Genomic DNA, 25529 nt, shown 5'->3' on the forward strand with positions numbered 1-25529 from the left:
ACTGGTGCAGAAACTAGGCTGCCTTTTACCACCCCTTCTGGGCTATATTTGACCTTAGATATGTTATTTGACGCTTTTTTCCTCCTGTTTCCATTTCTCTTTTTTTTTTTTTTTTTGAGATGGAGTCTCGCTCTGTCGCCCAGGCTGGAGTACAGTGGTGCGAGCTCGGCTCACTGCAAGCTCCGCCTCCCGGGTTCACGCCATTCTCCTGCCTCAGCCTCCCGAGTAGCTGGGACTACAGGCACTCGCCACCACGGCCAGCTAATTTTTTGTGTTTTTTTTAGTAGAGACGGAGTTTCACCGTGTTAGCCAGTTTGGTCTCGATCTCCTGACTTCGTGATCCATTTCTCTTAATCTCAGAAAGCCACACTCGGACATGCTGCCTATATAATATCCAGACCAATGCTACATAGAGTTAAAGGCTTTTTCACATTTTATCACGCATGTGACACATGTGGAACACTTTATAATATTTCCAAATAAAGAGATTACATTTATGAAACAAGATAATAATGCACCCCTTGCTCTTCTTCTTTTCCCTGTAGTAAGTAATAATGCCCTCTTGTTTCATGTTTCTTTCAGGCATGGAGTTTCAGAAAAAAGGCACAGGACACTGAACCAGAAGTATGGATTTGAACCTAGTTCATTACTTCCTAATTAAGTGACCTTGGACAAGGCAATTAACCACAGGAACTCAGTCTGCATATTAAAGAAGGAGGAGGTAGAGTAGCTAATAATATTTACCTTGAAGTTTACTTTTTTTTGCTTTTTAAAGAAATAAACATGTACTTGCCTAGCATAGGAACTGATTCATGGTAGATACTCAATAAATGCAATTCAAATTTGAATTTCAAGCTACTGGGTTTATTTTTTATTTTTCTTGATCCTTTCCATGGACAATCACACTTATTCTATTTAAATCCAAATTCTTTTTAAGAAGCATGATTTTGGATTATTTCCAATTATTATTTCTTTTAAAGTCTTTGTCTACTAGAGCAGCAGCTGTCAACCCTGCTAAAAATTAAAATGTCCTAGAAAACATTTAAAAAATTAATAGTGCATAAGCCCAATCTCTGACCAAATTTGAATCTGTATCTTTGAGGATAATCACAAAGTATGCATGAAACAATAACTGAAAAAATTTTAAAAAAAAAGACTGGTTAAAATACTTAAGACCAAACCAAAATAAAACGGCTTAAGAATTATTACACATATTATGTAAGACTGCAAGAGGTATTTAAAAACACTTACCTTTGTTATTGTATACATCTAAGTAATTTGGTGCTGAAAAAATTGTAATTAGAGAAGGGAAGCCTGTTGTTTGGCTTTTCCTGTACATGCGGTACCTAAAAAGAACAAATACAGTCAAAACAAAGCTTGTATGGAAAAAAGATAATATCAAATCATAGATTGAGAAATAGAAAATTAGATGAGTCAAGTTCCATCATTCAAAGGGCCTCCAATCATATAACACTAAATAAAAATTTATCTCTGAAGCCTGTTATACACAGGTATTAATACATTTCAGGGGGGTGGGTATGAAAACATACATTCATATGTAAAATTTCCAAACAGGTATTTTCTAAGTTAGCAAACCTCAAGAGAGGGTGGAATTCATTGGAAAATCATAATTCATTTCCATGTGTTCAACAGAAGGCTGATTAGTGCACACAGATACTTTGTACCCACCCAAAATTTTCAAAATGTTGTCAACATTTTTGACATAAAAAGACCAAATAAGTAGAGCAAGATACAAAGACTTACCACTAATAACCAGGCCAATTATCTGATAAATCCACAATATTCTGTAAAGCATTTTGCCTAGACTAAGTGATTTTAAGAAGAATGTCCCCTTAAATTTATGAATTTTTAGATTAATAATTAGATTTAATTCATAGATTTAATGCAATTCCTAGATGCAGTATATACAAGCATTTTTGCCTAGACTAAGTAATTTTCTTTAAAAAGAATGTCCCCTTAAATCTATGAAATTTTACAAATTGAGACTGTTTCTATTTTAGAATTTTATTTATTACCAATCTCTGCTGGTGTCTACAGGTCAAAGATTATTGTCTCAGCAGGGTAATATTTAATCAATCAGTAATGAAACAGAACATGCACAAGAACTTTGGAAATAAACCAACAATCCAGTTACTAAGCAGAAATAATTTATAATGTAACACTTTAGTTCTCAATTAAAAATACAGGTGACTGTGTCTCTTTTACATAAGGATAAAAATGTATCTCATGACTTCTGTGTAATCAATTTTAGGAGTATCAGTTTAGAAATACCTCTTCAAAACAACATTTTATCATTTCTTCGTTGATCTGTGTCATTTATTTCTGGTAGACTGAACCGTGCCTAATATAGTTAGGTTCTAAAAGCAGCTCAAAAAGTATCTTTAGATAGATAAACAGCCACCTTAACATTTATAATTTTAAAAACACTGTGAGTCCTCTCTTTTTGGAACTTGGTCATACTATAAAAGAAAATGCCCCCTTAAAAACCTTTTGAAATGTTCTAAAAGTATGTATTCTGATTATGGAACTGAGCTTCGTTATGGAAACAAAATCCATGTGAAAGACAGTTTCACTCTTAATCCTAGTACCTTGACTTTATAGACAGAGGGTGACTATGCCTACTTGACAACAAACAAAAACAAAGAAACTGGATGACATAATCTCAATTTTTCCAATGAATCAATCAACTTCTCATTTTAAACAAAAATACTTGATATTAACTGATGCACTTAACACACATTCAAGTAAGCCAGTGGTTATGGGTAGGTAGTGCAATCAGGATAAATCTGCCAAAAATGGGCAGTCAGCCGACTGGAACACAGCCAAAATAGCATAGTGACACCATAGCCTTGACAAGTGAGAACAATTATTTGAAGACCTGACTGGTTGGGTATATAAACAGGTTACTTCAAACATCAGCTACAAAACAGTGAGTATATAACACTGGATCCGTTCACACCTGTTGACTGATTGCTTGAAAACAGCTAATTGTGAAATGAACTTGGTATCTTCCTTGATTCAGGGATGTCATAGACATGGGCCTCCTTCAAAATGCAGGTATCTATATTCCCAATTTCAGCACACAGGTTATAAAAAGAAGTGCTACTACTTTTCAGAAAACCTAGACTATGAAGGGATGAGTTTAATTATTCAAAGGGAAGCAATGCCTTTCAGTGGAGCCTACTGGGAAACGGTATCAGACCTCAAATCTTAAAAGTAGTCTAATTTCTCCCTAATGTAGATTTAATATACTATTAAAGTGAACATCTGAAATTTCATAATTTTCTAAACCTCCAAAATTGTTCTACATCTTAGAAACTTACCAGGTGAGACAAAATCAACTTTATTTAATCATTTGCTAGTTAGAACATAAACTTTTCCCTGTTTTTAAAGATGTCCCTATTCCTTTCCCTTTAAAATCAGGGATATTACAGGGATCAGGAATGGTATTCAGGATTAGGAATGGTATTCTTTAAAACAACAGTAAAATGTGCAATACCTGTTAAATATTTAGTATAATTCTCATTCATATTTTCAACAAGACTGAAAAGTAGCTGGTAATTTACTCACTTATATGACAGTGTAAATGCAACAATTGAGAGGAATAAGAGGAGGTGCCCTTACAGTACTTAAGAAATCAAGCTGAAAATGGACTTGTTCAGGCTAAAGATGTAAGAACTTTACGGGAGACTGTACGATACATCTGCAGCCATTCATTCCCTAGGACTCTGTCATACCTGTGTCATCCATCAGAAGATAATTTTAAGCTCTAATTCCTTTTGGGAGTGAGCCTGGTAAAAGGGAACCTGCAGAGCCTAAGCAAAGTGAGGAAGTTCTGGAAAATGGACAATGCATGGTTTTTATAAATGCTCAAAACTGCTCACCCTGCATCTTGGGCTTCGTGGGCTCGGAGTATAGATAACAAGTTATTGTGCTGTAAGAATTCACATACAGCCGGGTAACTGCCAGAGACAAAAAGAAAAGGGAAGCATCTGTTAGGAAATCATCAGGAGTAGCACATTTATCTCTAACATCCAGATCTATGTGACTGGATCAAAGATAATCAAACATACATCATTCATGAAACAAGCCTCTTGACTCTAAGGCCAAGTTTATCCTTGTGGCAGAAAAAGCATCTACAGCTGTACTTTTTACATAATCAGAAAGGGGTTGAGGTGCATGAACTGGGGGAAAAAACATAAGCCATTATAAAACATTAGGAAAGTGTCCACTCTCAGAAAAATAAATTTTTAAAAGTCTACATTTAAAGACAAAGTGAACGGAGCATAACTATAACAAGATAATGAATTTAAAATATAAGTCTCAATTTTCTCAAATATTGCACCATTTGTGCATATGTGTGCATGTATGTGTATACAACAGAGATAACTGAGTTTGCAGGCAGAAGAGAATACATATGCTCTCTTCTGCCTCCTAATTATTTTTGTTTCTATAATCTCCCAGATTTAAGACTCCTCCCATACGGTGGGAAATCAAGTTATTGCTTTATCTAACATTATGGGTACAATAAGATGATTATATCATTCAAAACCTAAACAAAATTATGGATATTCACAAGGCTTTAGAATTTGTCCTTTAAATATGATCAGCAGAACTTTATCTTAAGACTTATCTATCTTGACTAAATAAAACATCCAATATACAATTATGTTTGTCTTTTAAGAGTCTCAAACTCAAATAACTTCATTATAAATGAAATTCAAATCATAAATTAAACCTGAAAAACCTTTTACAGTCATTATGTCTCTGCTCTAAGAACTTTTAATGAAACAAATGTGTATTATAAAAATAAATTTTTGACAATGCAAATCAAGGTACAGAAAACCAATATTCAAACTGCAAATATTCACTAGAACTTAAACTATATACCATTGAAAACATTCATCAATTATAAAAATAGCACTGCAGGGAAACATTCTAGTAATGTATGTTATTCAAATAATTTATTATAAAAGAAAAGATAGTTTCTGTGTTACACATTTTGTACAAATTCCCTGACCAACAGGAAAAAATTATCATTAAGATAACATACAGTTGGCCGGGCATCGTGGGTCACACCTGTAATCCCAGCACTTTGGGAGGCAGAGGCGGGCAGATCACCTGAGGTCAGGAGTTCGAGACCAGCCTTGCCAATGTGGTGAAACCCTGTCTCTTACTAAAAATACAAAAAACTAGCCAGGCTTAGGGGTGGGCGCCTGTAATCCCAACTACTCGGGAGGCTGAGGCAGGAGAATCGCTTGAACCCAGGAGGTGGAGGTTGCAGTGAGTCGAGAACGCACCATTGCACTCCAGCCTGGGCGACAAGAGTGAAACTCCATCTCAAAAAAAAAAAAAGAAAGATAACATACAGTTATAGAGATACTGACTATAAAAAAGATTCAGTTCTTTGGCAAAAAGGGATCTGAAACTGAAAACAGTCTCTGTTCATGTGCCCATGTGTAGTGTGTTTTGTAAGAGAAAGGGAGAAAAAGAGGAGATAATCATGGGGCCTCCACTTCCTAGTTGTCCCCAGTCAATTCAATAAATAAAACATCTAACTGATGAACATGAGTGTATCTTAGAAACTGGAGAGGATGGCCCAGTCTCTGCATGGAAACATGCCCATCTGGTACCCAGAATCAGGTGTTGACCAACATGTGTCTTCAAAGGCTTCTGTTCTGCTTAAAGAAAAGTGAATATACGACCTTTCCAGGTAAGTGTGTGTCAGAGAAAAAAAACAAAAACAAAAACAAAGAAAAAACCACTTTACTTTCAGAGATACTGGTTGGTCTTTCAAAAACAGCAGATTTGTTTGGTATATATTAGCTATAAAAGGCCCAGCTAAGGGGCACAGAATAGGTTCTCAATAAATGTTCCTTCCCTATCTTTTTTCTTTTTTTGAGGCCTTCACTTAAATTCCTTGTGCCTTCGCAATGCCTCTGTATAGAAGTATACTGTCTTGTTACCACTGTCAGACAGGTTGCCTGACTATGTCTGTCACTTTTTTGCCCTTGGTAAACGACTTAGTTGCCCTTTCTTATTTGCCCTTTTGGAACAACTTACACTATTCTTAAGAAAGAATAATTTTAAAATATTTTCGTCACACTAAGTTTGATACCCTTATGTGTTTAAGCTAAGTTTTTCCCCATGAAAATATATACCTGATTTTTATTGGAAATCTGAAAAAAATAAAATTAATCAAGTGCCAATTTGCTAGGTTAACAGCATTAAGTGAGGAGTATTTGCATTATTGACTTGGAGGGAATTCATTTTGAAGAAAAACTTCAGACATTTTCAAAACATATGCCATCATATACTCAGCTTTTCAAAGAAATACCAACATTTTCCTCATAGATCTAGACAATACTTGAATATCATCTAGATTCCCACTGTTGCTGAACTATTTACCTAGGATATACAGAAGTTTCTAATAGTATTAGAAAAGAGAAACAGAAACTCTGTTCCACTTTTATGCTTTTTAATGGAAATTATCACAAATCACAAAATGTTCAAGCTGAAAAGCACTGCGTATATACACACACACACACACACACACAGAGAGAGAGAGAGAGAAAGAGCGAGAGAGAGAGAACGGCAGGAAAAGCATATTGCTAACACCTAAACACCCCAAAGAGATGAAAAATCACTTATTCCCCAGTAATTTAGCAGAGGCCCAGTGATGATTGTTCCATTTGTTAGAAGACAGTATTAGCTACAGGGAGGGGCGGTATAAGTTCAAGGCAGGTTTCTGTCCTAAGGGTATTTATTATCTTAGGAACATAAAGCATTATAAAAAATATTTTTAAAAAATTACTATATTATAAAACACATTGAAGATAAAATAGAAGTTTTATAAAGATATTATAAAGCAAGCAAGAAAGCATCTGAAATTAATCAGAGAAATCTTTTTGAAAAATATCTATCTTTTGTTATATATTAAAGAGAATGACGTATGCAGATTGGTAGATAGGAAAGGGGTTAGAATTCTGCTCGGAAAAGAAGAGGGATCATCAGAAGCTGAGTGAATAGGAACAAAGATAAGGAAGGTAGAAAAGAAAAAAATGTAATAAATGGTAGAAAAATTGGCTTGGCAGTAGAGCAAACAGTTACTATTAGATTAATTCTGTTTATTCTCTTGTATTTGTTTCTATATCATATTGAACTATATTTTCAACCTTGAGTTTAATCTCCCAGATGTAAGACTCTTTAGCCATGACATAGCTAGTGGGCATTATTAAAATGTTTTTTTTTTAAATGTTTTTATGCCTTTATGGATACTTTCCCTGTGCAGTTTTTCCTCCTGGAAAGGCCTATTCTTCTGCCAAGTCTTCACAAGTTATCACCTGTGAAGCATTCTCTTCAAGGCTATCTCACCTAAGGTGTACACAACTGCTGTATCCACTGTGTTCCTACAATATATGTATCTAATATATCACTTATCATGTTGTAGTGTAAATTATATTTCTACTTCTGTGCTCCAGCAATAGTGAATGCCTTAGGAGAGGAACACCGCTTTTTCATTTGCATTTTCATATCTTAAATGCTTAGCAGCAATCTGTCAGCTTATTGGGGCTTATGCTCAATTGCTGAAGTAGCTTCAATAGGGGCAGTCAAGCAGGTGAGAGATGCAAAGGGTTTCTTTCCCTCCTCCCTCAGTGCTTTGGCAAAGCAGAGGCAGGCAGCCTGCAATCCCCTGCCAATACACAAGGAGGAAGCCACAGTCTCTTTGGTGTCCTTCTCCTCTTCCAGATCCAGTAATAGGGAAGACCCTGCCTGATTGTTCAACTCCTCCTCTGCTTCTTGGGGCCTGGGAATGGGTACTTAGCCCAGGAGTGTCCTGGGGCTACCTGGATGCTGTCAGACCTACCTTTTCCTAGGACTTGCTGTGTTTCTTTTTTGTCCCAGGGTTCTTGATCTAATTTCATTTTTGTCCAATGGGGATCAAGTCCTAAGGGGCCAACTCTTCCTGACAGAACTTTTCCAGAATTTAAGTTCAGAAGTGGCAAGCAATTTTTATTTAAGGCAAACTTTTTAGTAAAGTAAAACATCTATACAGAAAAAGGCAAAAATTAATTTGATGACCTTTCACAAAGTGAACACCCTTGGAACCTGCACTCTGATCAAGACACAGAACATTATCAAACCCCAGAAACTCCTCATATTTCTCTTACTGTCACCTCCTCTCTATGGGTAACCAGTATCCTGGCTTATAGCATGAAAGATTAGTTTTCTCTGATGTTGAACTCTTATTTCAGTGGAATCATACAGTATCTACTGGTCACTATCGGCTTCTTTCACTCGTCATTATGCTTGGGATCTTCAACCATGTTGTTATGTGTAGTTTTAGTAAGCTCATTCTCATTTGCTGTATTTAGTTGTATAAATATATTAGAATTTATTATTCATTCTACTAAATGGATATCCGAGTTTTCATTTCTTGGCTGTTATGATTAACCTTGCACATGTCGTTTGATGCACTTATAGAGACATTTCTAAAGGATATAAAATAGGGGCTGAATAGCTTGGTAATATGAATGTTCAGTTTTAACAGATAATGAAGCAGCTAATGTAATTTGGGAGTAGAGGTGAAGTAAGATCAGGTGACCTTCTCTGCAGAATTCCCAGTGTTACATTCCTTCATATTTTCATGATGCCGCTTTCCCCGCCTGCAAAAATCTTCCCCAATGACTCTGGTTGGATATGTTCTACTAATCCTTTAAAACTCAGGTCTGCTAATGCCTTCATCATGAATAGTCCCTTGAACCTAATCCATTCCCCCTTGGGGTTAGGATTCCCAACACACTCACTCAGATTGTCTGTCTCTCTCTCCCCCTCCCCACCAACCTGTGTGTGTGCGCGTGTGTGTAATAGCCTGCACATTTATAATGACGGCACTATTCACTTTGTATTTTACTTGTCTGTTTCTGCTTTGTGAGCTCTGCTACTGGACTGCCATTTTCTTGAAGGCAGGGACTCAGCATCTATAAAACTTAGTAGAGAGAGGCCAGGCATGTTGGCTCACGCCTGTAATCCCAGCACTTTGGGAGGCCGAGGCGGGTGGATCACGAGGTCAGGAGATGGAGACCATCCTGGCTAACACAGTGAAACCCTGTCTCTATCAAAAATATAAAAAATTAGCCTGGTGTGGTGGTGGGCGCCTGTAGTTCTAGCTACTCGGGAAGCTGAGGCAGGAGAATGGTGTGAACCCAGGAGGCAGAGCTTGCAGTGAGCCGAGATCGCACCACTGCTCTCCAGCCTGGGCGACAGAGCAAGACTCCATCTCAAAAAAAAAAAAAAAAAAAAAAAAGAGAAAAACTTAGTAGAGAGAATATACTACAGTAAATGCTCAGCTAATGTGTGCTAAATAACTGAATGAGTGAAAAAATTCTCAAAAAAGATACCCATGAATGGAACAGTATGCATTGGGTAGAGGGAAGAGGGACGATACTAATGAAATTGGAAGCAGAGAGCTCAGGTGTGATTTCAATAGACTAAAAATAAAGGTCTTGAATTCACAGTGGGAAAGAGGAAAGGCAGCATGGTTTAGATGCTTGTGATATTTATAAAGATGTGATGACTGGTGGTGATTTCAATACACGAGGAAAAAGCAAAGACACCTGTTAGTCTGCATGGCTGGGAGAATGAACAGTAAACAAAAAACAAACAAAAAACAGGAGGAATTTTCAGTGGGGATTAAGCAAGTGGGAAAGTAATTAAGCCCTTTCAGGCATGGTGAGTTTAGGTTAAGGTGAAAATGGAATCCCTAGAAAAGAAGTTCCAGCAGACAACTAGACATACAGGAATTGAGCTCAGGAAAAGAGATGAAGCGGGCTAGACATAGATTCAGGAACTGGCCATAGAGTTTACAGTTTACAGTGAATCTAGGGAAGTGGGTGTAGGTGAGGTTCCTAGAGGAAAGTGTGAAGAAAAAAATGCCAAAGCAGAAGAAAGACAAAAAAAAAGAGGCATCAGGAAGAGAAGGGATCGCCCTGACAAGTCAGAGGAGAATCAGGATATATAAACAAGGAACCAGAGGATTTCAAGATGGAAGCGGCTGATAAGAGTGTCAACTGCTGCACAGAAGCTGGGCAGTGTGAGAAGAGAAGGCTGCTGATTTGTGATTAAGGGACCAGTAGTGATTTGAGTGAGTTGCTACCTGTAGCTTCCAAAACACTTCAAAATCACTGTCAAGATGCCCCTAAAATTTCAGAGTTTAAAAGAGCTTTAGGGTGTCTAATTTAACTCACTCATTTTGAAGCAAGGTAAACCCAGGATACAAAGCTTATATGATTCATCCAAGGCAGAAATACAGATTGATAACCTAAACACCAAATCCAGCTGCCAGTTTTCATTGGTCTACATGAAATGAAAATTTGTCATGATCCTCACTAATTTCCAGAATCTAACACTTGCCCTGCTCCAAGTATCTCAACTATCTGCCTGAACATTATAGGTATTATTTGAGTGTGCAAACTCTGGTCTAAGATTCTAAAGATAATGGTACATTGGGGCAAAATCATAGATCTTATGGATTCTTTCCTCTCTGTCACACTGCCTATCTGATATAACTCAGGAACAGTGTTAAATTCTGACTGATGCATATTTTCTGCATAACTTTATTTTATTTAAATAATGGCCCAGATAACATGTTAGATAGTGGATAGGCTGGCATAGCAAAGTAAACACACAAACTACACATACAAATGTTAAATAAAACTGAGAGCTGTGGATCAAAATACCTGCCAATAATTCAAAATGGTAATTGCCACTAAGGTTCTCTACCAATTTCATGGCTTGCTTGTGCCCATCTAGATCCACTTTATAAACCATAATCCCAGAGGATGCCTTCATACTTTCAAGGTGGCACTAAAGACAAAAGGACCAAAAAGCTGTAGGAGAATGAGAAACATTTTTCTCCTCCTTAGATAAAACATAATCCAGACTGCTTTGACATTAGTCAGTCTATATATAGGCCACAGATTTAGATATTCAGCTATTCACATAATCTATACTTGCCATAGCTAAAAATCATTATTTATTAAGAATGTTTAATGAGGCTGGGTGCAGTGGCTCATGCCTGTAATCCCAGCACTTTGGGAGGCCGAGGTGGATGGATCACCTGAGGTCAGGAGTTTGAGACCAGCCTGACCAACATGGAGAAAGAAACCCCGTCTCTACTAAAAATAAAAAATTAGGCAGGCATGGTGGCGCATGCCTGTAATCCCAGCTACTCGGGAGGCTGAGACAGGAGAATCGCTTGAACCCGGGAGGTGGAGGTTGTGGTGAGCCGAGATCGCACCACTGCACTCCAGCCTGGGTGACAGAGTGAGACTCTGTCTCAAAAAAAAAAAAAAAAAAAAAAGGATGTTTAATGAGACGAAATAATCATAATGCTGAAAACAAAAGTGAAAATATGTTTAATTCTCTGATTATCCTCTATTATTAAAGATGGTAGACTTTATTCTAAATATATTCTATATATTTATTTTACAAATATATACACACGTCTGTGTCTAATGCCGTAATATATAGACATATCTGTGTCTATATTATAATATACACACATATCTGTGTCTATATTATAATATACACACATATCTGTGTCTATATTATAATATACACACATATCTGTGTCTATATTATAATATACACACATATCTGTGTCTATATTATAATATACACACATAATATATACACATCTGTGTCTAATGCCATAATATTATATAAGTTCAGTATTATATAAGTTCAGTATGGGACTCTGCTTAGAATATGATTTGAACAGCTGACACGAAAACGAATAGAATGCTATACTATTATTAATGCAACAGGACTCAATATCAAAATCAAGAGTTTGAATTTTGTTTGATATTATGTTACTGAAGTATAACTCTGTGATATCAAGCAGGTAATTTAAACATCTAGGGTATAATTAGAAAGTTAACACTAGCTTTGGAAAACTGAACACATAACTTTGACGTACTTTAACAATGCCAACTTTTCACTATAAATTTAAACATCTTTAATAAAAGATTACTCCCAAATTAATTACTGAAAATAAATTTTAGCCTTTTCAGAAATATTATACCATGCGTCTTTAATTCAGCCAAAATGGATTCATTAAACCACATTTCCAAAATATAGAAGTGAACTATAAATTTTTAAAATAAATATGCTTAGAACAAACCTCTCTGTTAATATTCATATAAAGAAAGCTATACTTTGAAAGACGCTTTATAGTGCACTAGATTTTCTATTCATGAACTTTAATTTATCAATCACATCAACAGATAGAAAAACTTTTTTTCCCCCATAAGAAAACTTAGTATATGGAACAAAATGTCCTACTACTAAATAGGCATCAGATCAACGTCCTATAGAAGGATATTTGCTTACTCTAGAGACAGAAGATACACAGCTGGATGTATTTTACAGAATTCTTCCAGCCTTGCCATTAGCTTAGCTGCCAGGGCTGGAATTGAGCATTAACTTCAGGGAACATCAGGTTAAGTTCTTCAGTATCTAATAATAATAATAATAATAATAATAATAATAATAATAATAATGAAGAAGAGGAGGAGGAGGAGGAGGAAGGAGGAGAAGAGGAGGAGTAAGTATTCTAAAATTAAAAATTCTCATCTTCTTCATAACCTCTTTTCTCTTTCACTCTCGCAATTTTCACATAAGCTGTATGTATAATGATAAGAGACTTTAGTGAAACTGAGGAAGATCACATCTGGGAGGATAAAACTGAGGTGACACGATAGGAAGACAGTGAGGTCATGCAGAAACCTAATCGTGTTGCAGATTCCTTTCTGAAGTGTTATAAAATGTCATGTAATGGGTAAATCTCTAGCGATTTGTAAAATGTAAAAATTATTATAAAAATATTTTCAACTTGGCTTGTCAAAGTCCTAAAAATAAATATACTATGGTTCCTATATACTGTAAAGCTGCTTATTTTAATTTATCCAGGAAGCCTGATAAACAAATGTAAGAAGGAATTAAATGATTGATTTAACCAATGTAAAGTTGTTTTTCTGATCTGAGTTACAGAAACTGGTAAAACTTTTAAATGTGATAACATAATTGAATTAAAACAAGGCTGGTGTTGGATTTTTTTGGTACAGTTTTTTTTTTTTTAATACTGGAGTTTTTTTTAAGTTCTGGAGTACATGTGCAGAATGTGCAGGTTTGTTACATAGGTATACATGTGCCCTGGCGGTTTGTTGCACCCATCAACCCGTCATCTACATTAGATATTTATACTAATAATATCCTTCCCCTAGCCCCCCACCCCCTGACAGGCCCTGGTGTGTGATGTTCCCCTTCCCTGTGCCCATATGTTCTCTTTGTTCAACTCCCACTTATGAGTGAGAACATGAGGTGTTTGGTTTTCTGTTCTTGTGATACTTTGTTGCATTGGGGCAAAAATAATAGTTCTTATGGATTCCAGCTTCATCCATGTCCCTGCAAAGAACATGAACACATCCTTTTTTATGGCTGCATAGTATTCCATGGTGTATATGTACCACATTTTCTTTCTCCAGTCTATCATTGATGAGCATTTGGGTTGGTTCCAAGTCTTTGCTATTGTAAATAGTGCTGCAATAAACATGCATATACATGTGTCTTTATAGTAGAATGATATATAATCCTTTGGGTATATACCCAGTAATGGGATTGCTGGGTCAAATGGTATTTCTGGTTCTAGATCCTTGAGCAATCGCCACACTGTCTTCCACAATGGTTGAACTAATTTACACTCCCACCAACAGCGTAAAAGCGTTCCTATTTCTCCACATCCTCTCCAGCATCCATTTCCTGACTTTTTAATGATCGCCATTCTAACTGGCATGAGATGGTATCTTATTGTGGTTTTGATTTGCATTTCTCTAATGACCAGTGATGATGAGCATTTTTTCATTGTTTTTTGGCCACATAAATGTCTTCTTTTGAGAAAGAAACTACCACCCTGATTAGTCAGTAACCATCAACATCGAGGCAAGATCCTCCACCAGCAAAAAGATTATGACTAGCTGAAGGCTCAGATGATCATGAGCATTGTTTAGCAATGAAGTATTTTCTGATTAAGGTATGTACATTTGTTTTTTTTTTTTTAGATACAATGCTATTGTACACTTAATAGACTACAGTATAGTGTAAACATAACTTCTATATGCACTGGGAAACCAAAAAAATAATGACTTGCTTTATTGCAATATTTGCTTTATTGTGGTGGTCTAGAATCAAACCCTTAACATCCCCAAGGTACACCTGTATATGTATACATATCTATTTCACATTTATTTACTCACTTATTCATTTATTTATATTTTCATTTTATAAATGCTAGTGAGCCTTTCATTTATATTAAAGAAGTAATACAAACATTATAAATAAATCAAACACATGGACTGATAAATCCTAGCATTATGATGCAAACGTGTTCCAGAGAGCAAGTTCTCTATTCTTACCTGTAGAAGTATGAACACCCCCTGACTGTGTTGTGAGTGAAATGTTCCTGAGTCTTCTCATTTCCAAAATCTTCCAGGGGGTCTGACCACAGGATATCACACATAGGTCCATATGCAGGTGGTTCTTTGAATCGGTCTAACTAAGAAAAATAGAAGACAGAGAGCAAAATACTAATCTTTGGAAACTTAGAATTCTGACAATACAAGAAACAAGCACTGTGCAGAACCCATCCTCTTCTCCCCAGCTACAGCTCAGGGTGAAATGTCCTCTACCTCTCTCTCTCTTCCTGTCCTTCTTCCTACTCGTTTTCCTATCCTTCATCTCTCTCCAATTTTCTTTCCAGCTTCCTTCTGATGAGATCATTTAGTATCTATCTTCATCTAACCCTTTACCTTCCTCTTGCCTCTATTATCTCTAGATTTCGCAGTTTCTCATTTCTCCTATTCTACATTTTATCCTTCTCTCCTTACTTACTTTATCTATCCAAATGTTTTTTTCATGACCAGTTATTATGACTCTACCCCTGTTTCATTTATTGAGAATTACTTTCTTTGGGAAAATTCCTATTACTGCCTCTATTAAACTGTGATTTAGAAGTTTGGATGGAAAACAACTCCTAGTTTTCATGCTTATGTTATTTTTTTATATTTAAGAACATGATTTTGAGAAAAGATGGCTTTTACTTTAAAAGTAGCCACTTGCTATATGATATTTTGGATACTATTTCATTATGGGCTATCTAGGTTTCTAATGATAAACTACAAGCCTCCTGTAGTTGATCTTAGTGGGTACAAATATGAGTAATGATAAGCAGTAAAATAAACTCAACTTTAGCGGGTCATTCTTCAGTTCACAGTTCTAAGCTTTATAATTTTACCTGAAGCCTTCATATGAAATCAATTTTCCAGCTATAAATGTTTAGTGAAGTCACATTTCAATTTTAAAAGGTGCATTTAGAAGGCATATTAGAAATATCATCACTGGAAATAACATATCACGATCAATTTTAAACACTTTAGTTTATCCTGATTTAACTGCAATTAAAGGATCTTTGGTGAATCAGCAGATATTATAAAGGCTCTTGAATAAAAGCATGCAATAGCTTTGAAAATCTATTAAGAATTGATATTCTTCATATTGATATTTTTAAAAATCCAATGAAGACAAGTGAACATATTTTGCTTACAACTAATCAAATTGTCTATTTTTTTTTTCTGGGACATACAAGATGTAAGTAATGGTTTTGTTGCACACTACTTTTTATTAGTATCTATAGAGAATGAGGCAATATTTTATGTTTTCAATACCCAATGAAAAACTTCAATAAAACAAGACTACATTTCAACCATTATGTTAGCCACAAAATATTCATTGCAAACTTAAACTTGTTTAAGAGATTTAAATAATTTATGCTCTTGGAACAATACATTCAAGAAAAATAATACTTGTCCCTAAAAATACAGAACTTCTTTCTGAAAAACAATAACTTATTAAGGGTAGGACAGTAGAGGAGGGGAAAGTTTCTGATTAATATGAATCCCCAACTAAAGGTCTGCAAAGCTACCAGAATATAACATTTATTCTGGAAAAAGTATACAGTGCATTCTAAAAGTTAATATAATTGACAGTAAAAATAAACAAATACAAAAAAACTTGATATATGGCAAGATAAAAACTTAAAAATCATTTTCTGGCCATGTGCAGAGCTTAATGATATGTATGAAAATTGAATATAATATCTAAAATATCCTGGGAAGTAAGTCCTAGGGATATTAGGTGATATTTTAAAAAATCTACTTAATTTACGATGTGAAGTTTATTTACTTAAAAAAAATCCATCAGATTACAGAATGAGCTAGTTATATTCATGCAGAAAGAAACATTTCTGTTTTTGAGACGGAGTCTCCCTGTGTCACTCAGGCTGGAGTGCAGTGGCACGATCTCGGCTCACAGCAACCTCCACCTCCCAGGTTCAAGAAATTCTCCTGCCTCAGACTCCTGAGTAGCTGGGATTACAGGCGCGCGCCACCATGCCTGGCTAATTTTTGTATTTTCAGTAGAGATGGGGTTTCAACATGTTGGTCAAGCCGGTCTCGAACTCCTGACCTCATGATCCACTTGCCTCGGCCTCCCAAAGTGCTGGGATTACAGGCGTGAGGCACCATGCTTGGCCCAGAAAGAAACAATTTTATACTGAACCAGCATCACATCTCTACTGTACTTTAAATATAGAGCAAAGACCAATGCTCTATGCTCTATAGAAGTGTGAAATAGTGTCTTGCAAAAATGGACACAAAGACACAGAGCAGGAAACAAGGTTTATTTATTGTGCTTTCGCTTGAATTTTAAAATAAAAAGCATGCATTTTCTTTCCAATAGGAAAGTAAACACATTATTTTTATACTTGAACACTTGAACCTCAATGATAGGAAGAACTTGAATGTTTTATTTTACCTGAAAATAATTTTTCTCTAAAAACTAATGAACTTTAAAAGAATATTGAGTTCATGGTAGTAGAGACTTATGGTATGCAAATACATTCATAATTTACTAAAGTATTTCCTCAAAACCATGAGTTTCATTAACAAAAGTATTAAAGAAACACTACAAATGAGAGCTATATGAAAATGGTTATTCATTTTGTAGTAGAGGTTTACAACCTTTTTGCTGGTGATTGCGTCTTAAACAAAATAGTACAATAGCCTTATCCTTTCTATTTATTCTCTACAGTATAGAACTCTATTCAGTGTATCAGTTTTGTTCAAATAATTAAAACACTATTTTGAGGGAAGTTTTCACTAATCCCCCTTTGAAGGAGGACACTTAGTAAGTTTCTCATCTTCCATCCAAGGCCATGAAATTTGATCAAGGCAAGAGAATAAAACATAAATGCATGTCTTTCATGCCCATCATTTGCTAACAGAAACTACTATACTTATTTGTAATTTGACTTTTCATTTTCCAAACCTATTTCAATAAGTGGTTATCAGGTTAATATGATACATGGATACATGAATAGATAAAATATTTGCTTTCCTTCTCCACTGAACACAATGGGAAAACACTGTTTACTAATTTAATAACTTATGGCAGCTGATAGAATTAACTTGCAAATGTTCATCATATAGACTTCTCAGACTTAGCAATCAAGTTTCCAAACTCAGAAGAAATGGAAAAAAACAATTAAATGGCAATCAATCAAACAAGTGACACCAAGGGAGTCTTTGTATGAATGCCCCTAATGATAAGCAAGATCTAGAATTTGAACTGTGCCCATGGTTATTCTTAAGTGAACCTATAACTTAAGAAATAAATTCTGTACACCTTGAGATTAGTGCATCACTTATTTGAAGCCAAAGTCTACCTATCATACATTAGGCTTAAATATATACTGAGTAGTATGTATCTTTAGAAGAAATCTCAGCAAAATTCCAATCTTTATAGTTCAAATACAGTAATTTAGAACAATGTGACCAATTTATTCTTGCTAAAATTACTGGTGAGAATAATAATAAAAGGTTAGAATTATTTTCACCCCTCTGTTCTATGGGATAAGTACAAGCGTATTTTCTTAGGTCTCTAAAAGTAGAGGAAAGAAGATAAATACAGTTTTCAACTGTTTATAATTCCTCCAGAAAAAATTTGGCTTAGATTTCCTAGATAGAAAGCTTAATGGTGGGCACAAATTTTCAATAACATATGTTATAAATATCAATGTGAAGAAATTATCATACTTTAAAATAATTCCAAGTAATATTATTTTAAAATGACCTAAGAAAACATTTACATCACTTTCTCCCTTTGGTCCGATTTTGGCACCAAGAAAAATACACTGCGATTTTTTATTACTCTCTATCTTTTACATCATTGCAATCAGAGTTAGAAACATACCAAAGAAATAAAAGATTGTCTATCTATTGTACTACATAAAACTATCCCATGTTACTAGATTTACTCAAGAAAGAGACACAATCCACTTCCACATTCAATGTAACTCATCTTTTTGCTGGTTTAAACAACTGTTAATAGCCAATGCTAAACTGGAGTATTTCTTAAAAACTTCTTACAAATACTTCTTAAAAAGTCCAGTTTTTCACTCAGCCACTCAGTAAAATTAATAAAATATTATCACTGTCCTTGTTAGATTGCTACTTAAAAGTCTCAAGTTGTAACAAATAGATTTTTAAAAAACCATAAAATGAGCACAGTTTAATGGTTATGTTATGATATTTTCCCAAGGGCAAAGCAACATTTCTAGCATAACACATCATGAATATACAACGGATTGTTTGAAAAAAGCCAAATGGAAATGATAAGGCATATTTTTTTTAGAGGTCAAATATTTTATATTTCCAAAGACACATGTCAGATGGTAAGACCAACCCTGAGGTTGTAGAGATAAAAATTCTTCCAAGTATAAACATATCTCTCTTTCTAGATAAAAATTTAACACAAAGGAGCGATTCATGACCACTTTAAATTATTTGAACTCAAAAGAATAAAGTCAGTGATAAAGGCAGGGTAATTAATGTCTTCTATTTATTACTGTAGCGCACAAAATGATTAGACTTGGAAAATAACAAAACTTACTTTTCTGATATCATCTAAAGTGTTAATCTCTGGAGACAAACCACCATGCACACACAGGAACTGTTGGTTCATCAGGGCAGCCAGGGGAAGGCAGTCAAAGGCATCCATACAGGCATCATATACGCGTTCTGAATACTTTATTTTACCTTTTAGAAGTGATTAAAAGAATACTTATGATTTATAGGCAGGATCATTTCACTGAAATAGTTTTGGTTTTTTGAGAAGTTTTCTTGCTAGGACCCTATTATTAACATAAAGGCACATACTACAAAATTCCAAAACATAATTAAGATTTTCTGAAAGTAACATATTAATCTTTTATATCTAGTATTTCCTGTTTTTGTCATTTATTAATTCATACTTTATAATTTTCATAACGTTTTGTATAGCAAGAGAATTTTTATATACATTCTGGCTATTTATCTGCAGACGTCTCACCAAAAAAATGTACATGAACAACTGGAAGACCAATAGAAAAACAGCCATAAAGCTGCTTGATATTCCTTAACGATTTTGTAGAAAAGCAGATGGCAAGACATTTCCTAAAGCTGTTTCTATCTTACTGCACATTGCTTTTCCCATGACTTATATCTAATGTTTTAAGAGGAGAAGTCTTTATGCTCCATTGAATATAGGACTAAATGAAAGAGAAAAATATTGATATGTATAGAGAGATTCCCAGCTCTTCCATTTAACTGTATTTATACATAAAACAAAAATGTAAGGTTTTATACCTTTGTAAGATTCAGTGAATAATAAGAAAAATTGTAAGGAGGAAAAAGAAATTGAAAAAAGCACTCCACACTCCTAGTGTCTATGTCTAAAGAATGACATCATCTTCAGTTTTATAAGATTCACTAGAAGCTAGTATTCATTTATTGGGTCCAAAACAGAGGCATAGGGTTGAATTTGCCCTCCATTTGCGTTTTTTGAGTAATGTGAGATTAATGAGTAGAATTATTGTTCCAAACAGTAGCATCCCTAAATCACTTGTTTCTTAGGATAAATTACATCAAATCTTAATTCAAATTCTTCAATCACTTTATAAAGAAGTTCTAATTTAAAAAGAAATTCTGAATTCTCATAAATGTCCATGCTTAGAAAGAAATATAGGATAATATGAAAGAGTGTCACTTTAAGTCTTTGACTTTAGGCAATAGATCATATTGTATGTATCTTATTATTGATTAAAATTACTTTTTAGCACATATAGTGTTAAAGGAAGGAGGTTGAAGTATACTTACATTCTTGTTTAAATGTGAAATACTCTGTTAGATGTCTACATTCATGATTTCCACGAAGTAAAAACAGTGTTTTGGGGTAGAGAATTTTCAAGGCCCACAAATACAGCACACACTGAGAAAAATAAAAATAATATAAAAATAAATATTTTTCCTTAACACTTATGCATTTCATTGCTCACATATCATAAAGACATGAATAAAATGTATTACCATGACCAAAAGTCCCCCAAAAGGCTGGAACTTAGTAGAGAAGATATTGACAATCAAATAGGAAACATTACTTTGGTAAAAAGCCAAGGTCCATCTACACCTAAAACATACATACACGCACTGAGGATCATATACCACAAGAAAACAATGGATTACATATGGTCAACAGAAGGAGAATTATGTGACCTGAGGAGAGTGGGAGTTTAAAAAAAAATGGAAGGGAAGAAACTTAACTAAAATATACTAGAAATAAAAATATACTGGTTTAAAAAGATGAGAAGAAATACTGCTATGTGTAGTGAGATTCCCTGAACTTCAATTTAATTAAATAGATACATAAATCAAAAACTTCAGATTTATATACCAAAGACACTGACAGAAAAGACAAGATGTTGGGAGAGAAGAAGGCAGGGAGCTAGAGATGGGGAAAAGTAATAGAAAATACAGACGCAGTTCAAGTTAGGCTGAGCTTGTCAATGCTTTGCCTCCTCATTTTGTTGTACATTATCTTTCCAATTTTTCCATTTCTGTTACCTGATTTTTAAAAATAATTAGCTTTACAAAGAGAAGTGACCTTATTTTACTTATTAATCATTAATCATATTGTACTAAAAGCTACAGGATACATTTGATATACCTTAAAATTCTCAACTTAGTTTCTTGGGCATTGCAGTCTGTAAAAATGATGGTCAATTATGCATTCACCAACTTGGGGATACATCTACATTTGACACAGCCTTCCTGGAATGAGCATTAAGTCAACTGGAATATTCAAGTATTAACATCAGTAATTTGTTATCGTCAACTGACATTTGTTAAGAATCCATAGGGAACAGAAAATCAGGCTTTGAAAAACAAGTATGCCCTTTTATCCTCGTAAAACCTGTATTCCCAAAGTGAAGCTAAGAAGATATAAAAACTACAAAAATATTGAGACAAGTCTAATTCTGGTTACTAAAATCTGAAATCAAAATCAATGAGATTTATACATTAATAATTGGCTTTCCAATACAGTAGATATCCTGGATAATATCTATAGGGAAAAGCTGCTGACAATTTATTTGTAGTACTACTTGTAAAGAGTAATCATCTCTCTTAGCTTATATGATAATTTATGAAATGAGTGAGAACTAATTATGTTTGACTATACAGCCCAAGTTTTGGAGAAAATACTAATTATCAGAACAAATGTTTATTATTTTGTTGTTCAAGCAAGATATTATCTCTAGGTAATTATGATTGAAATAAACAATAGGTTGACATTAAATTATATATGTTACTTTAAGTTTCTAATTACCACTTTCTGATTATAGTTATTAGCTAAAGTTCATGTGACTAATGATATTAATATGTCTGAAAAGTTGACCAAATGGCCTGTACAAGCGATCCTTAAAGCATCATGATCTGTTGATGTATGTAACGTTTCCTGTTACCTCAGTGAGTAGTCCGGTAGCTTAATGAGTCTCTGCTACAGATCGGGTTTTATAGCTGTACTTACATGTTTCAATAAAAAGAGTTTGTATTACTCAAGCTTGTCTCACATTTCAGGGAAGATATTCATAAACTATTATTAATGTCAATGGGAGGACTGTCCCCAATTTAAAATGTCTAAGGCTATACCTTAATCTGAAAGTAATATATGTATTTTTCCAAATTGGTCGTTAATTTAGGATGTCTAGTTTGGAATATGAATGGATATGAAAACTCCTTTAAAAATACATTTGCATGTTGAAATTGCTATTTTGAATATATTTCATTTATATGCTGGGGGAGAGAATACATGTTCTGAAGGCACTTAGGCTACTTTTTTAAAGTTTTTTTTTTCTTTAAGAGAGGTATAATATATCCAGTGAAACGTCCATAACTCAAATCACAGATTAATTAATTTTTACACAAATCCCATGAAACCACTACCCAGATCCAGTTACATTTCAGCATTCAGATGGCTCCTTTCAGCCTCCTCCTAGTCAATATTCTTTTGGAAATGTCATTATAATTCTGACTTCTTTAGATTAGTTTTGCCTGTAACAATTTGTTTTAAGGCAAAGTTCTACCTCTCCAATTAAAATCTAAACTGGAACTTTGTAACCCCACTCAAATACCACTAGAGGAATCACATTCTAGGACCCACATTTTCTTTTTTTGCTATCTGTTAAAGACCTTTTTCTGACATTAGCATGTGGCTTTATCCCGTCCAGTCTTAATTACCATAGTTCTTTCATAACTGAAACCTCAAAGCGGGATATATAAATGCACGATGCTAAATATTTCTATCCTATATATTTACACCTTTTAAATGATGCAACATACATGTAATATCCCTGATTATTTAATGGATGTAAAGTACCTAGTATATGACAGGAGTTGAGGAAATATTAGTTCCTTTTCTGTAAATGAAGAAGGAAAGAAAGGAGGGAGGGAGGCAGAGAAAGGAAGGAAGGAAGGAAGGGAGGGAGGAAGGGAGGGAGAGAGGGAGGGGAGAGAAGCAGGGAGACAGAATGAGAAATAGAAGGCAGAGAGAGAGAGACAGAGAGAGAGAGAGAATATAACTCAATTTCTAAATTCTTGGCTCAAAATACCCTAAAAATAAGTCTTCTTTTCACATTTTATTTCCTTCTTCCCTGTAACAAGAATAAAATATCTTCCCAAACATTGACTAAAACCACAAAGGCAGCCAATATGGAAGAAGTGGCATGGTAAATGAAAGGGCAAGGGTGGACTGGAGGTGGAGCCCTGCCAGCATTCTCCCTCAACATCTGGTGGGAGAGAGCTGCCAAGTACAACACTGTCTTGCCGGCAACTATTTTACCATCTAAAGCTCTAACATTCTGAAGAACTGAAGATCTTCAGCAAATCATAACCTGATAGTTTTTTAAAAAAGGGAAGTCTCTTGTAAAAAAAAATCACAATCAATGAAAGCAGTGAAATACAATTAGTTAATTGTTTATTTTTGTCTATGTGGTATCAGATGGCTAACTTGAATCAAATTTTCAGTGAATTAATTGGTTAAGGTAGAAACAAAGGGCTGTGTTACACTGGCCTTTTCTGCATGGTGAGATGTAAATGAGGTGCGCTAATCACTTCAACTGGACCGCTATTGTCTTTCTATTCTGACTCTTAATTAAACAAATATTTACACTTTAAGGTTAGTTTAGGTTACTCAATATGAAAGATGGAGCATCCTCTATTTTTAAAATTAATTTTTGCCACAGACATAGCTTTCTCCTGTTTAATTTTCTCCTATCTTCCCCAATGAAGCAGCACTAAGAATATAATTTTCTTCGTTAATTGGTTCACTGATAATAATAGTGCAATAATTTACTTTGTAATTTATGCTTTTAATGATAAGTAGTCTTGAAAATTGCATAGAGAAGTAAAGAAGGATGTAAAAGAGGAAGCAAGGAAGTAAAAAAGAAAATGGACAGCTTTAGGTACATATTAATCAGCTCTTTAAAGTAACTACTCGTACTGTGAAACATTCCAATCAAAAGTGCTGCCTCTCGATCATCAAACTAAGTAAAGGATTTGCATCAGTTGGGAAAAGATCCAAACTCCTGAAATATCAAATGTAGCTCCTCTAAGACATCACTTGCCTGGTCTGACAAGCATGTAGACAGGCAGCAGTGGAAGAGCAATGCACTATATAGACGACTGGCTACAGGGAGACAGCCAGGCAATTTCTTCTTCATGTCTGTGGCATTACTCTGTCACCTAACATCTCTTGTTGTGCCACTTGCTTGTTATTCTCAGGCAGAAGCATGGAACATTGTCTGGTTTGCTGTGGTTCATTCTGGTCTACGAATTCACAGCTAATAAACACAACACCTCTTCACACTTAAACTTGTTGAGGCCTGGAGTTGAGATCTGGATCTAAGTTGAGAAGCCAGCTCAAGGCAGTGTAGTGCAAAACGGCTAGAAAGGGAGTTTGAGGAAGTGAATAGAAGGAAACAGCTGTGCATGCCTCTGTTTGCAATTCTAAGTTTTTCCTTGTGTTCTCAGAGAAACACACTCAGCCACAGACCTATATATACACATATGCTTGATCAAAGAGATTAGGTACTGTAATGCAATCATCGGCAAGAGCAGTATTTGGTGTAAGACAAATTATTACTCAAAACAAAATTACCTCTTTCATCACTACTCAAAAGCTTGCTTGTCTTATTTGGGCTAACTTTGTGGGAAATGATTTCTAATTTTGGCAAAAGGAGAAGACTGGGGTGGGGGTAATGCATAAAATGAGCTCTGTGTACTGCCCAGAGCACATTACCTAGTGCTTATAAATATACCCAGCAGAGACTGTTTGAAATCTGAAATTATCCTTCAAAGCTGACTTGGTAAAAATTAAACTGAAGTGCTCCCCTTTGCCCAGAGGATAGCCAAAGGAGAATACCTGCAGTGGAGCCCTGAATTATTGAGATGAATTGAGATCCTTTTGAAGCCTGTTAGGATAATACACGCTGGAAAACTGAGCTCTTATTTTAGGATTTTTCTTAAAACAACAGTATCATACTCACAGAGAACATTTTATATCTAATGCTTTGATCTTCAGATTATATAGATAGGGAGAAGGCTGTGTGTACGTTTGTTCATGCATGGGTGAATATAATAGTGTGTACCAGTTTCTGCATTACTGATTTTTTTTTTTCGTGGTGCTTTGTGGTACATGTAATGAATATACTATGGCAAAGGCCTGGGGTTAGTGGAAGAACACAGGCTTTGAATCCCAGCACTGCCATTTACCACGTGTGACCCCCGAGCCTCAGTTACTGCACTCATAAAAGGAACGTATTTACATGTTCCTTGCAAAACTGTCAAGAATAAATGAGGTCATTCAAACTATTGAAACAACAGCATTTACAACATGCTAACAATGTCAGTTTCCTTAATCCACAATAAAAAATCCTTAAAGTATTTTCAGTAGGTACATTTTATATAAATGTCCATGCTATTTTACATACGATATCAATGAGCCATTCCAAAGCCTCTCAA

At 34.9% G+C, this 25529-nt stretch overlaps 1 protein-coding gene across 3 annotated transcripts in view; it reads right to left on the reverse strand.

Moving 5' to 3' along the window:
• Positions 1 to 25529, reverse strand: part of PPP3CA (protein phosphatase 3 catalytic subunit alpha) — a 324109-nt gene that overhangs the window by 55863 nt on the left and 242717 nt on the right. For all 3 annotated transcript variants that reach the window (NM_001130692.2, NM_001130691.2, NM_000944.5), the window contains exons 4-8: positions 20331 to 20442; positions 19087 to 19232; positions 14496 to 14635; positions 3906 to 3983; positions 1252 to 1346 (exon numbers count right to left, since the gene is read on the reverse strand). In NM_001130692.2, coding sequence (NP_001124164.1) covers positions 1252 to 1346; positions 3906 to 3983; positions 14496 to 14635; positions 19087 to 19232; positions 20331 to 20442 — 571 coding nt within the window. The remainder of the gene's footprint in view (positions 1 to 1251; positions 1347 to 3905; positions 3984 to 14495; positions 14636 to 19086; positions 19233 to 20330; positions 20443 to 25529) is intronic.

This window comes from Homo sapiens, chromosome 4 (assembly GCF_000001405.40).
Source record: "Homo sapiens chromosome 4, GRCh38.p14 Primary Assembly".
Taxonomy (NCBI): Eukaryota; Metazoa; Chordata; class Mammalia; order Primates; family Hominidae; genus Homo; species Homo sapiens.